Below are 15,588 nucleotides of genomic sequence, written 5' to 3' on the forward strand. Positions count from 1 at the left end.
TCTGGCATAGAGCCAATCTGCAAAGACTGGGAGAGTTATGTTTTGTTTGCTTGGTTGGTTGGTTGGTTGATTGGTTGCTTTGTATTTTGGCCCCAGATACTCAAGAAAATCTCTCATAAAATTCTAGTTGAACACAGGCTGAGAAACAAAGACTATAGTGACCACACATGAGAAGGAATATTACAGTCTTCGCAGAAATAGTTTTGGAAAGTCACTAAGCAAATGGCCTACTATACCCTTCAACAGTCAAAACATTCAGCAAATTCTAGAGAAGGTAGATAATTTTCAGTTACTACAGTATGATAAATATACAGTTTTCAACAAAAATCACAATGCATAAAAAGTAACAAGAAAGTATTGGCCAATTCAAAGGAACAAAATAAATTGATAGAAATTATCCCTGAGGAAGTTCAGACACTGGGCTTACTAAACAAGGACTTTAAAACAACTGTCTTAAATATGCTCAAAGATCTAAAGGAAAACAAAGACAAAGAATGAAAGGAAATCAGGAATATTATGTAGGAATAAAATGAGAATATCAATAAAGAAATATAAATTGTAAAAAAAATTCTGTATCTGAAAGGTAAAACAGAAATTGAAAATTCACTAGGGTAGTTTAACAGTAGGTTTGAGCAGGCAGAAGAAAGAATCAGTTAATGAAGATAGGAAAACTGAAATTGTCAATTCTGAGGAGCAGAAAGAAAAAAGAATAAGTGAAAGTAAACAGAGCCTAGGATACCAATGGGAACCCATCAAATAGACCAATATACACATTCTAGAAGTTCCAGAAGAATAAAGAGTGGAAAGAATATATGAATAAAAAAATTTTGAGAAATAACAGTTCCCACATTTTATGAAATATGTAAATCTACAAATCCAAGAAGCACAATAAGTTCCAAGTAGGGTAAACCCAAAGAGATCCACACTGAGACATATTATAATCAAACTGTCGAAAGCCAAAAACAATGAGGACACTGTAATAACAGCAAGAGAAAAACAACTCATTACATACATGGGATCCCTAGTAAGACTATCAACTGGTTTCTCAGTGGAAACCATAAGGGCCAGAAGACAATGGGATGATATATTTAAAGTGCTGAGAGAAAAAAAAAAACTGTAACTGAAAGTTTATATCCAGCAAAACTGTCCTCAACAAATGAGGGAGAAATTAAGACATTACTAGACCAGCAAAAGCTGAGGGAGTTCATTACCACTTGGCCTACGAGAAATGATAAAGGGAGTCCTTCAAGCTGAAATAAAAGGATGCTAAACAGTAAGTAGAAGTCTTATGAATAAATAAAGATCTCCAGTAAAGGTAAATGTATGGGCAAATGTAAAAACACTATTATTGTATTTGGAGTTTATAACTGCACTTTTATGTCCTACAGGACTTGGAAAGACAAATGCATAAAAAATTATTAGTTGATTTTATTGTGCATTCAATAAAAAGATATAATCTGCAACAACAAAAACATAAAGGAGAGAGAATGGTGTTGTATAAGAGTGGAGCTATCGTATGTTATTGAAGTTAAGTTGGTATCAGAGAGAATGGTGTTGTATAAGAGTGGAGCTATCATATGTTATTGAAGTTAAGTTGGTATCATTTCTGACTAGGTTGTTATAAATCTAGGTTGTTAAATGTAATTCCCATGGTAATCACAAAGAAAATATGTGAAAAGTTAACACAAAAGGAAATGAAAAGAAAATCCAAATGGTTCACTACAAAAAAAATCAACTAAACATAAAAGAGGTCATAATAGAGGAAATGAAAGAAAATCCAAATGGTTCACTACAAAAAAAATCAACTAAACATAAAAGAGGTCATAATAGAGGAAATGTAGGACATAAAAAGCTATGAGATATTCAAAAAACAAAATGATAGAAGTAAGTCCTTGCTTATCAGTAATTACTTTAAATGTAAATGGATTAAACACCCTAATCAAAAGACATATACTGGCAGAATGGATAAAACAAACCATGATTCAACTATATGCTATCTACAAGAGACTCACTTTAGTTTCAAAGTCACAAGTAGGCTAACAGCAGAAGAATTGAAAAAGATATTCCATGAAATAGTAACCAAAAGAAAGCTGAGGTGGTATACTAATGTTAGACAAAATAGATTTTAAGTCAAAAATTGTTAAAAGAGACAAAGAATGACATTATATATGGAGAGAGATCTCTAAAGATGTTCTATTTATTATTAAAAATGGTATGTTGAAGTCTCCAACTATTACTGTAGAAATGTTTATTTCTCTCATCATTTTGGTCAATATCTGCTTTATATATTTTGGAGCTCTGTTTGGTGCATATGTGTTTAGAATTATTATATCTTAATGAGTTGACCATTTTATCAATATATAATATAATTGTTTTCAGGCCACTAAACAAGCCTCAGTAAGTTTTAAAGTATTAAAATAATAAAATGTATCTTTTCCCACTATAGTGGAATGAAGCTAAAATCAATAACAGAAGAAAAACTGGAAAATTCAGAAATATTTGGAAATAATACCGTCTTAATAAATCAAAGAAGAAATCACAAGGGACATAAGAGGTGAATGAAAACAAAAACACAACGTACCAAAACTTATGGGATACAGTGAAGGCAGTGCTTAGAGGAAAATGTATAATATAAATGCCTACACTTAAAAGAAGAACAATCTCAAATCAACATAAATTTACACCTTGAAGAACTAGAATAAGAAGAGCAAACTAAACCCAAAGTTATCAGAGAAAGTAAATAATAAAGATTAGAGGGGAGGAAGACAGAGAATAGAAAAAGAGTTGCAGAATAAACGAAACCAGAAGTTTGTTCTTTCAAATATCAGCCAAATTGATAAACATTTACCTAGACTGACGAAGAAAAAAAGAGGACTCAACCAAAATCAGAAATGAAAATGGAGTCATTGCTATTGACCTTACAGAAATAAAAAGAACTTTAAGAGAAGATTACGAATAATTTAGATAACCTAGATGAAATGAACAAATAAGTAAAAACACACAATTTACCTACACTGATTGAAGATGAAATTAAAAATCTCAACAAACATATAACAAGTAAAGAGATTGAATCAGCAATCAGAAACCTCACAACAAAGAAAAGTTCAAGACCAGATGGCTTCACTGGTGAATTCTAGCACACATTTTAAAGAAAAATTAACATGAATCTTCAAACTCTTCTAAGAAGTAGGCAAGGAGGAAACACTTGTTAACTCATTCTATGAGTCCAGCATTACTCTAATACCAAAGTCAGATAAAATCGCCACAAGAAAAGAAAATCACAGACCAATATCCCTTTGTAGTGAGTGCTTGTAATTGTATGTTGTCTTGGCATCCATTTTATATGTAAGTTTAACTCTCTCATGCCAGAAACAGGGCTCAGTCACCCTTGACATAGTCTCATATTCTTCTTCCCACCTGAATGGTAGCCAGAGGTAAAACTTAGAGGCATCTCTCCTGCCTAGCAGGGAGGACTCCCTGCTTTCCTGCTACGTCCTTTAAAGAGACCATTCAGACATTTGCCTGCAAACTTAAAGTGATCACCTCTCAGTTACAAAATGACCACTTGAAACGATTGCCTGCTCACTTTAAAACCACCAATTAAAGCCCCCCAGTGGGAAGCCTGTTTAGATAACACCCTAGACTGAATAAAAGCATTGGCCCATGGGTCCCTTCTCTCTCTCTCTGCCTGTGCACCCTGACCTCTACATGTGTGCAGTCTCTGGGCATGCTGTGTACCCTCCAGGGTACATAAGTAGTAAAAACTCTTAAACTTTCACGTTGTGGTTGCGTCATTAAAGCTGTTCTTGCAATCTGACCCCTGACAGTGAGGCAGCCCCAAAGCGTACAGATGTGGATTGCCTCTGCTGGTGCTCTTTTGTCCAAGTCTCTTAGCTGCTGGGGGACAGTAGTTAACAGCTAGGTTGATAGAGTTTCATTCAAAACACCCTTATGAAGATGTATTTAAAAATCCTTGACAAAATATTAGCAAACCATATCCAACAGCACAGTAAAAGGATTACACATCATGACCAATTGAGATTTATTCCAGAAATGCAAAGATGGTTCAATATAAGGAAACAAATTAAAGTAATATACCACATTAATAGAATGAAGGAGAAAAACACACGATCACCTCAACTGATGCAGAAAAGGCATTTGGCAAAATTCCAACATCCTTTAATGATTTTTAAAAACACTCAGAAAACTAGAAATAGAAGAACACTTCCTCAATATGATAAAGGGAATTTATTAAAACTCACAATTAACAACATGATCCAACTATAGGCCATCTACAACAGGCATACTGAAGGGTGAAAGATTGAAAGCTTTTCCTTCTAAGAAGATCAGAAATAAGACAATACCTGCCTTCACCACTGCTATTTGGCATTGTATTGGAAGTTTTATCCAGAGCAATTAGACAAGAAAAATAAATGAAAGGCATCCAAACTTGAAAGGAGGAAGTATATCTTTACTCACAAATGACACAGTCCTACGTATAGAAAACCCCAAAGAATCCAAAAGAAAATTACTAGAGCTAATAAATTCAGTGAAGTTGTAGCATACAAAATGAACACACAAAAATCAGTTGTTTCTGTACACCTGCAATAAACAATTTGACAAGAAAGTTAGAAAAAAAGCACCTCCATTTATAATAGTATGTAAAAGAATAAAATACCTAAAAATAAGTTAACCAAACATGTGAAAGTTTTGTACACTGAAAACTACAAAACATTGCTGAAAAAATCAAAGAAGACCTAAATAAATGGAAAAACATCCCTTATTAAGTCATGAGTAGGAAGACAATATATTTAAGGTGTCAATACTACCCAAAGTTATCTACAGATTCAATGCAATCCCTATCAAAATTCCAACAGCCTTTTTTGGCAGAAGTGGAAAACTCAATCCTCAACTTCATATTAAATTGCAAGGGGCCCTGAATAGTCAAAATAACCTTGAAAATGAAGAACAAAGCGGAAGGACTCACAATTCCTAACTTCAAAACTTAATACAAAACCACATTATCAAAACAGTGTCATACTGGCATAAGGATAAATATGTTGACCAATAGAATAAAATTGATAGTTCAGAAATAAACCCACACACCTATGGCCAGTTGATTTTGACAGGGTTGGCAAGTCCATTTAATGAGGAAAAACCAGTCTCCTCAAGAAATAGTGCTGGGACTCAGCCGGGCATGGTGGCTCATGCCTGTAATCCCAGCACTTTGGGAGGCCGAGTTGGGCAGATTACCTGAAGTCAGGAGTTCGAGACCAACCTGACCAACATGGTGAAACCCCATCTTTACTAAAAATACAAAAATTAGCCGGGCGTGGTGGCACATGCCTGTAATCCCAGCTACTCGGGGGGCTGAGGGAAGATAATTGCTTGTGCCTGGGAGGCGGAGGTTGCAGTGAGCCGAGATTGTGCCACTGCACTCCAGCCTGGCCAACAGAGCAAGACTCTGTCTCAAAAAAAAAAAAAAAAAGAAAAGAAAAAAAAGAAATAGTGCTGGCACAACTGAATTTCCACATGCAAAACAATGAAGTTGGACCTCTCTCATACCATATACAAAAATTATCTCAAAATGAATCAATTACCTAAATGTAAGCGTTAAAACCAAAAAGCTGCTTTTTAAAATATAGGGGTAAACGTTCATTACCTTGGATTTGGCAATTGATCCTTGGATATGAAACCAAAGCATAAGAAACAAAAGAAAAAATAGGTAAATTAAACTTTATCAAAACTAAAGGCCAAGTGTGGTGGCTCATGCCTGTAATCCCAGCACTTTGGGAGGCTGAGGCAGGCAGATCCCTTGAGGTCAGGAGTTTCAGACCAGCCTGGCCAACATGGTAAAACCCTGCCCCTACTAAAAATACAAAAATTAGCCAGGCATGATGGTGGGTGCCTGTAATCCCAGCTACTCAGGAGGCTGAGGTAGGAGAATCACTTGAACCTGGGAGGCAGAGGTTGCAGTGAGCCAAGACTGTGCCACTGCACTCCAGCTTGGGTGAAAGAGTAAGACCCCATCTCAAAAAAGAAAAAAACAAACAAACAAAAAAAGCCACAACCCTAAAAACTTTTATGCATCAAAGGACATTATGAAGAAAGTGAAAAAACAATAAAGAAAATATTTGTAAATCATGTCTGAGGAGGGTTTAATATCCAGAACATGTAAAGAACTACAATTCAATAAAATGACAAAATACCCAATTCAAAAATGGGTAAAGGGCTTGAAGAGATATTTATCCAAAGAAAATATACAAATAGCCAGTAAGTACATGAAAAGATGCTCAATGTCATTACTCATTAGGGGAATGTAAATCAAAACCACAATGATATACCATTTCACACCTCCTAAGATGGCAATAATTTTAAAAATGGAAAATAAGTGTTGACACAGATGTGGAGAAATTGGAACTCTCACACATTGCTTGTGACAAAATGGTGCAGATGCTATGGTAAACAGTTTGGCAGTTCTTCAAAATGCTAAACGTGAAATTATCTTATGACCCAGCAATTCCACTTCTTAGTATATATCCAAAAGAATTAAAAGCAGGGACTCAAACCTACTTGTGTGTAAATATTCATTGCAGCATTATTCATAATAGTCAAAAAGATGAGAACAATCTGAAGTGTTCATTAACAGATGAATAATGTTTTATACATACATACAATGGAATATTTTTCCACCATGAAAAGGAAAGAAATTCTGATACATGCTACAACATGGATGAACCTTGAAAATATTATGCTATAAAAGAAATCAGTCACAAAGGACAAATATTATACGGTTCCACTTACATTAAATATCCTAAATAGAGAAATTCATAGGGACATAAAGTAGATTAGAGGTTACCAGAAGTGGCAGGGAGGGGAAAGGAAAAGTTATCTCTTAATGGTTACAGAGTTGTTATTTGGTGTGATTGAAAAGTTTTGGAAACAGACTGGTAATGGTTGCACAATATTGTGAATGCAGTTAATGCCACTGAATATAGTTTAAATATATATTTATATAAAACAAATAACATGTGTTATAATACATAATACACACACATATGTATATAAAACACCACGATTTAAAAACAATAAAATGCTTTGGGAAAATCTACATTAAAGAAACTACATAACTATTCAACAGTGCTTTCCAAACTTGTTTGACCTTGGAAGTTTTAAAAATGGACTACAGTTAACATTTCCAAGGACATTTATGAAAGATAGAAACAAAGTACAAGTGATCATAATTTTGAAAGGGAGAAAGATGGTCTGCAGTAACAAGTCCCCCTTGTTAAAGTGCAGACTGCTTCAGCAGGGCTCAGATGGGGCCTGAGATTTGGCATTTCCAACAAACTCCTAGGTGATGCTGATGCTGCTGGTCCTCAGCCCACAGTTTGAGTAGCAGGGGATATAATAGTACTATATATGAAGAATAGCACTATTCTTCATGATCCTGTTCCCTACCATAGCCAATTTGATCAACTGATCTGAAAGCAAAGATGTTAATGGATAATAATCAATAATTTATTATGTCTCCAATGTAGCATAGTTATAATTTTACATGGGTTTCTAAGACAAATACCTTATTCCAAAGAAGATACTCTGAGAAAGTGATATATAGCAACAAAGAAGATCAATATGGGATGGGGATTGTCATACTTGGTGCTGGGGGCAGATGAGGTGGAATTATTTTTTCAAATACATTTAAAGTATGCCAGATCTATATCTTACTTCCATTTATATTTGGATTGCATACTTGAATTATGGCCAGGCCACTCTTTCTCATAAGAATAAGAGAAAAAGGAAAAATGAGAGCAAGAGAGAAAGGGAAGGGGGGAGCAGGAAGAAGAGGGAAGAAGGGAAATAGGAGACAAGGAAGGAACGAAGGATAGGAATGATAGTGCCATGAAAAACTAGATGTTTACATAATTCTTTTCAACAGTCAGATTCTCATTCAACTCATTTTTGAATATCATCACTTTGCTGATAAATCAATTAGATGGGGTTAACTAGTGTAAAATATTTCCTTCTGTAGTTTACAGAGCACATTCATTCACTGGTGATCACATCTAAGAACATGTCCCTGTCAATCAGAACACCTGAGCAGACTATTGTGCTAAATGCAGATGAAAGGTTGTGCTGACACATGCTAGGATAACTCCTAAAAGTGGGGAAAAAAACAGTTATCTACAATTCAACCCAAAGAACTTGCAGGTCAACTTCCATATTTAGGTAGCTTATATCACTAGGATAATTGTATTGGCCTCAGGCATTTTACCCCTGCAGTTAAGAAAAATATCCTTAAAGTTAGGCAATTTCTGCCTCTTATAAACTCTGCGACCTTGAGAAAATTAATGATCTTTATGCCTCAATTTTTCTTATCTGAGAAATGGAGGTGATGATAATTATTGAAGAATGAAATAATACATTCACTGGCACACAGCAAGGTTCAAATATATGTCAGTTCTTAGTATATGCGTGTGCTAATCCCTCATCAAAAAACTTTTTTTCTTTCTAAGGTTTTATATAGAAATGCAAATGAACCTTGAACCAAAAAAAAGTGCCCAAAATTGAAAAAGTCAGATGTAAAGGATTAAGAAAGGTACAAACCAATGTAAAATACCATGGTTAGCAGGCCAGGAGGGCAACAGGATATTATGAAATGAGGGAAGTGCAACAAAAAGGTTGAAAGTTTAGGTTTTTGGAATCAGAATGATGAGACACTGACTCTCAGCTTTTCTAATTACTGTGATGGGACTTCAAGCAATTTAACCTCTCTAACACCATGTTTTCTCATCTGTAAACATTTACTAGAGCAATAAACAGATTCGTCTTTTGTGAGGATTACACTAGATAATTTTTACATGCACTTAGCACAGTGCAGCAATATATGGTAACTTAAAAATTATTTTGACTTCCAGCAACATACTCATAATGCCACTTATCAGGAAAGATAAAAACGAATATATAATGGTATGACCCAGCTTTCTAAATGCTTCCAAGCCAGTTGGGTAGGCTAGAGAAGCAGAAAATGTACAAGACAACCAATGTTTAAATTTTCAAATTTATGCTTTTAAATGACATTTCTCTTTTTCCTGTTTATTTTTCCCATCATTCATTTTTCTATCTATCTTGCATATAAGAATTCAGGAAAGTTTTCCACCTTGAACTGGATGATCTCGAAGGAAATATTTCATTGTGGAGAGAAAGGGAAAAAGCAAACATATATAATTTCTTGTGACTTGCCTCTGCCTTGTCTAATTTATTTCTCATTAGCAGAAAAATCTTTGTTACAAAATAGAATTCTATAGCCAAGAAAGAGAAAGTATCTATTTTGCTTTGTTTTGAGTAATCAAAAAAGAAAAACAAAATCCAGCAGAGTAGAAAGTGACCATGGAGAAGAATTCATCATGGCAGATGCTGACATAAGAGGGGCCGGGACAAATTAAAAATAGTTGGAGCATTTCAAAGATGTCTACTGAAAATTGTTTTGGTAATATGGTGGTGCCTGTTATTCTGTGCCTACAAATATATTTTTTAAAATCACAATCACATTTCAAAAGGTAGACTTAAGGAGGGCTACAAGGGGCCCTCTCAAATGAATGAGTTAAAGAGGTGAAAGAAGAGAAAAACACATTGATAGTCCTGGTTTGCATCTATCAAAATTCATTAGTAATAAGTATCCAAACTATTTTAAATATAAATCCTGTTATACAAAAGTGTGCATAAGAACACACTTGTACTTTCATTAGGAAAAGAGAGTTCTGAGGGGTATAAGGTGTTTTTCAAGGGTCACAGAACTCAGTACATTTCTTTTCACATCCCCACTGCAGAAGATTACACAGATATGAGCAAACACATGAAAAACAATCACAATTACTGTTTCATTAAAAATAGAAAAATTAGTTATGTTTCAAAGAATAACAACACATCTCTTTTACCACAACTCCTTGCTCCTTCTTTTACCAAAAGATTTTGCCTGGGGAGTTAAATTAGCCATTGTGCCCCAAATTTCCTCATTTCTAGAACCCCACACGGACTTCTGAAGAGGTTTAAAAATGCAGTGTTTAAGTGCTGCCATAACTTGTGTTTTCACTGCCTTCGAGGGAGGCCTCAAGCCAAATTCCTCTTCTTTCAGATCCTACAGATTTGTTGGGTACTGAGCCAACTAGGGTGTTTCTTGCACTGGGCTGCTGATCCTTTGTTGCATGAAGACATACACATTTCTACAGGAGAAGGCAGCAAGTAAATAGATAGTTCATGGCAATATTAGCTCAGAAAGCATTAGGAGAAAATTCCACAAAGGCAATAAATATCTTCCCCAGCAAAATGTGAAGCAGAGAATCATCAGACAGTGATTTACCTACTGACAAAAGGTAAGAGAAAAAGAGAACTGCAGTCAGGCTAGTCACTGGATCTCTGGAGATAACAATGGACTCTTATTGTGTCCAAAGCACATCTAGGATGCAATAATCCTTGCTTTACACCATATTTACTAAGGTAACAATATGGACGTAAATTGACATTACTGTATGTGTTTATGTCTTAAGTTAATTTTGTTTGTTATATTTCTGTACATCATTTCTCATTGGTGGTCAGAGGATATAAAGAAGGAGTGGGGTAAATTCAGAGGTGTCAAGAAAATCAAAGTAACCTGCTGATTTAAAGAATGTCATACAAAAGGAGGTGGGTGTTTCTGACTCATCCATAACTCAAAATGCAGCTCCATTTTGACCTCATGACCAGGCTATTTCATCACTACGAGGGAACCGCTGTTGATGTCTACAATGTTGATGATCCTAAGGTCAAAAATAAAAAAGCCACCACCCAAAAGGCTATTTTAATAGAAACTTATGACAGTGAATCCAGTTCAATAGTTTTCAGCTTATATTTTCCAAATCCAAAACTCTTCAGGGTAAGTTGCCATTGCTTAACAGCCATTATCCAAAATACAAGTGGGAATGTTATCATTATGCACCTCAGGGTAAAACTTTTTTTTTGGCAATCTCACCATCATTTTAATTGTATTCAAATCTCTAGCCAATTGCACAGATGTTAATGGAGCTGTATTTTTGCTTCAATGTCTATTGCAATATTCTCATTGCATTCTGCAGGTCCTCCAGTAAACGTTACTTGCAATATTTTTATCAACAGTTTTGGATCAGTCACAGAAACGACCATGGTAAGTGCTGCAATGCCACTGGCAAGAGAAAGACACAACTCAATTATGCTGTGAACACAAACTGTCAAATTTTCTATTGTTCAACTTGCAGGGCCTCCTGTAAATGTTACCTGCAACATATTTATCAACAGCTTTGGGTCAATAGCAGAAACTACAATGGTGAGTGGGACTGAGCATTGAAGCCATCGTGTGAAGGAATGGGATGTGGGATTGAAGTGCACTGTGGCATATTTGTGAGACATTTACTGAGTGCCAATTTCCAACTTTGCTCGCCTCTGAAAAGCAATAATTTATACTACTTTATTTTGTAAAGTCATTTGTCAAGTGTTCATTACTTAATATTCAGTGATCTTATATCTATCGTGCCAGAGAAATTTTTAAAACATTTGATGTTTTAATGGTTTTCTGTAGAATTATCCACAATAAACATGATGCATAGTTATGGATATTTAAATAGGTGCATCTCCAATGCTTCAGAAGTACAAATTTCAAAGTTTGAGAGATGTAACAGTATAGCCAGTTTTTTACATGTAATGGAATTTTTAAGATAGTTGAGCCTCCCTTCGATGCCACATTCAAGATATATTCCAAAGGGCTGAAATTAGAAAAATACACACACACACACAATTTTGTTGACAAGAGAAAGTAGTCCCAAGTCCATAACAATTATACCATATGAATGCCTTTTCCAAAAAAAAAAACCCCTAAACTTAAAGCTAATTAGAAGCTCATTATACAGTATGAGTAAACATGTTTCATATATCTGAAAAAGATTTCAGATACTATAAAATCTACCAGTGCATTTTTTTTTTTTTTTTGAGATGGAGTCTCTCTCTGTCACCCGGGCTGGAGTGCAGTGGCACGATCTCGGCTTACTGCAACCTCTGGCTCCCAGGTTCAAGCGATTCTTCCACCTCAGCCTCCTGAGTAGCTGGGATTACAGGTGCACGCCACCATGCCCAGCTAACTTTTGTATTTTTGTAGAGACAGGGTTTCACTATCTTGGCCAGGCTGGTCTTGAACTCTTGACCTCAGGTGATCCACCTGCCTCGGCCTACCAAAGTGCTGGGATTACAGGCGTGAGCCACCACAGGATCTCACTCTTCTGCCCAGGTTGGAGTGCAGATCATGGCACACTGAAACTTCAAACTCCTGGGCTCAAACGATATTCCTGCCTCAGCCTCCCAAGTAGCTAGGACTACAGGTGCACACCACCACATCTGGTTAATTAAAAAAAAATTGTGGAGACAGGATCTCACTATATTGCCCAGGCTGGTCTCAAATTCCTGGCCTCGAGCAATCCTCCTGCCTCAGCCTCCCAAAGCACCAGCATTAAAGGCATTAACTACTACACCCAGGCTTCTACCAACACTCTTCATAAATGTCATGGTCATGTTACCTGTGACATAGCCTATTGGATCATTAGTCTTACCCCCACAGGGTTCTCGGCTACAGCATGGAGGTTGCATTTTGGGTGAGATATTTTCTTGGTCCCCATATTATTTACTTTAAGTCCTAAATCAATTGGCTGGGTCTAATTTGCATTACTATGTAAAGTTTACAACCATTCATTTGATAAAACCAAAATCAAGTGTAATTGAGTTTGACTAAGTATTATGGTGCCTGATGTCCTAAAAATAATAAGCATAATGCCATTGAGAAGTAAAAAAAAAAAAAAAAGGTTTCCTTGTTTATATGAATTTTCTCTTTTTGGCAACTAACATCATGTTTAATAAATTACTGTTCTTTGTGGTGTCCTTCATGTTAGGAAGAATTAATTTACCTTTACCACTTTTTTTCCACTGGCAAAATTAGACATAATTCAACTCCATTACCCATTTTGATATTATTCTGAAACATTATTACCCAGAAATGAGACTTGTGAGGCTTTGACAGGATGTGGTGCATTTAAAAATTTACCTAAATAGGATAGTTTTGATAGGGCTATTAAATGACTCATAATAAAAGCTAAACACAGAAAGAGTATATCAACTCCCAGGTTGACATTCAGTTTCTGTCTCTCCCCTCTTGGCTTTATCGTAATAAGAGAGGGGGCAAAGCTTCCAGTAGCCCAAATCACTGTCACCAGCTTTACACGATGGCATTCAATGACAATATTTGCACGACCTAATGCTGATTGCATTAATTAGATTCCCATGTTGCTTTGATTAAATCTCCTCATTGCATCGTATTCTCAATCAAAAATGTAAATGTGCACCTTTTCGATGTTCATTAATGCAAAAAAAAGCTAAACATTTAAAGAGATTAAAATGGAAGCTATGGATATCCTTGTTTTCTGCTATCTTTAACAGCTACTGAAAGTTTAATAAATGGGCTGCTCAGGTACTTCCTGGCCACTTATTTAGTGACCTTTGTCATGCTTCCTGCCAGAAAATTTGGAAACTGTTGCTCAAGGGTAACATACACAGCCTGTCTATTCTGCTGTATAACACAGATTGAATTGCATGGTTAGAAGACTGATGTATATTGTGCTTCTTTTGTTTTACTTCTTAGCTTTGATATAATGACAAACTCCATTTGCTTTAAAAATATATTTTGTTTTATTCAATTTTGGCTTTGGTGCAAAACTACAGAAAATATTTTTTGGAACTCTATCATGCTTGTCAAAGAAGAAATCCTCAGGCCACCGAGGGTAGGGATTGGCAAACTTTTTCTGTAAAAGGCCAGACAGTATACCTAAGACTTTGAGAGCCAGATAGTCTCTGTCACAACTATGTGATTCTGCCCTTTTGGCATGAAAGCAGCCATAAACAATAGTAAGCAAATAATTGTGGTGGTGCACCAATAAAGCTTTACTTACAAAAACAGGCCAAGGCCCAAGTTAGCAAATAGGTGTGGTTGTGTACCAATAAAGTTTTATTTACAAAAACAGGCTGAGGCCAAATTTGGGCCACAGGCCATAGGTTGCCAGCCCCAGATTTAGGGCATCAATATTTAAGTGGATGCATAATAAGAATGTGAGAATTGCTCCAACAAGAAAGGGCCTCATCTTCCAAGATAATTGAGGCCCTGCCTGGGACTCCACCTGGTACACCAGTCTTAATTAGCTCAGGCTGTGATAACAAAGGATTGATTGGTTGGCTTATAAACAACACAAATTTATTTCTAACAGTTCTGGAGGCTGGAAGTGTGAGATCAGGGTACTAGCATGGTCAGGTTCTGATGAGAACTCTATTTGGGTTACAGACTGCTGACTTCCTCTGGTATTCTCGCATGGTAGAAAGAAAATTATCTGGGGCAGTAATCCCCTTCATGAGTGCTCTACCCTTACGACCTCATCACCACCCAAAGGCCCCGCTTCTACCCTCCAATACTATCACATTGGAGGTTAGAATTTCAACATATGAATTTTGAGAGGACACAAACATTCAGTCCATTGCACACCCAAAGTGTCATCACAGCCCAAGCTTTCTTTACCATACCGCTAAGATTTTACCATCCATGAATTTACTGATAGTTTCACAAAATTTGACTCAGAAAAATTGGTCAAAAAAATTAAACAGAAACAGATTCTTCCCTGAACTGTCTTTAGTTGTAGTCAGAATCCTTAGCTTTATGCACAGTGATGAGGTCATTGAGGACATTGATTGGTGCTATTTTCTGGGGTAATAGTTTTGATTTCTCTACATTTTCTGGAATAAATTATGTCAAAGAATGCCTCAGAATTTTGAGTTTCTAAACCTGTTGACTTTCCTCTCTTCCCTTACACTTCACTCTCACCCCATTATCCAAATAGCATTATTAAAAGTTTTAGTTTGGGGTATTTGTTCCCAGATCAAAGGCAATGATTATATATTTCAAGAAGTCAAGATGGCTTTCTTTGTTGCTATCCAGTCTGCCCTTCCTATGGTTAATGAAGTCCCACTAATTTATTGTAGGTGTTGCCTGCCCACAAAGTAGAGGCCTGCTTACAGACCCAATACCAATTCTCACTCTGATATGTTAGTGTCAGAGATGTGTACTCACAGGACAACACATTTGTGTTACTCTAAGGAGTATTTTTATGTATCATTATTTTTATGGATATATTATTCAAAAATGCATTTTTGTTCATTAAGACACACAGAAATCTGTTAGTGTTCATTGCTAGTTGCCCCAGCATTAAGAGTATTCAGTGGAACAAATTTTGTGTGGTCCCAAAGACTTAGATGACTAATAAGGAGAAAATGATAAGATAGGTTATATTCTGTTTTTGAAATGTGAGTTTACCGTTTTCTTTTATTTTTCTCTTTTCTTTAGTTTCTGACGGCAAGTGAATTTACAGGATGGGGAGTATATTTGCAACCCCTATTTCCTGATATAAAGGCATGGTTTGAGAATTTTAGTAATGTCAGTAAGGGTCAAGGGTGCTTTCATACCATCTGTATATAGCTTTCCCATAAGTTTGG

The 15,588-nt window shown here is 35.9% G+C and overlaps 1 protein-coding gene across 8 annotated transcripts in view, besides 1 other annotated feature; it reads left to right on the top strand.

The window, feature by feature from the left end:
* The window catches only part of GLRA2 (glycine receptor alpha 2), a 283,034-nt gene that overhangs the window by 114,443 nt on the left and 153,003 nt on the right, over positions 1–15,588 (top strand). For 4 of the 8 annotated variants that reach the window (XM_047441999.1, NM_001118885.2, XM_006724487.4 and 1 more), the window contains one exon: positions 11,112–11,179. In XM_047441999.1, coding sequence (XP_047297955.1) covers positions 11,112–11,179 — 68 coding nt within the window. Of the gene's footprint in view, positions 1–11,111; positions 11,180–11,270; positions 11,339–15,588 lie in introns of those variants that run through there. The other 4 variants (XM_017029427.2, NM_001118886.2, XM_047442000.1 and 1 more) reach the window with 3 other exon arrangements.
* Positions 3,368–3,970: an enhancer, noted in NCBI's record as "NANOG hESC enhancer chrX:14584711-14585313 (GRCh37/hg19 assembly coordinates)". NCBI's record gives its function as "activates a minimal SCP1, AML or CMV promoter by ChIP-STARR-seq in naive H9 embryonic stem cells {active_cell/tissue: H9 hESC(naive)}" and the evidence as "EXISTENCE:reporter gene assay evidence [ECO:0000049][PMID:30033119]".

Source organism: Homo sapiens, chromosome X (genome assembly GCF_000001405.40).
Source record: "Homo sapiens chromosome X, GRCh38.p14 Primary Assembly".
Classification (NCBI taxonomy): domain Eukaryota; kingdom Metazoa; phylum Chordata; class Mammalia; order Primates; family Hominidae; genus Homo; species Homo sapiens.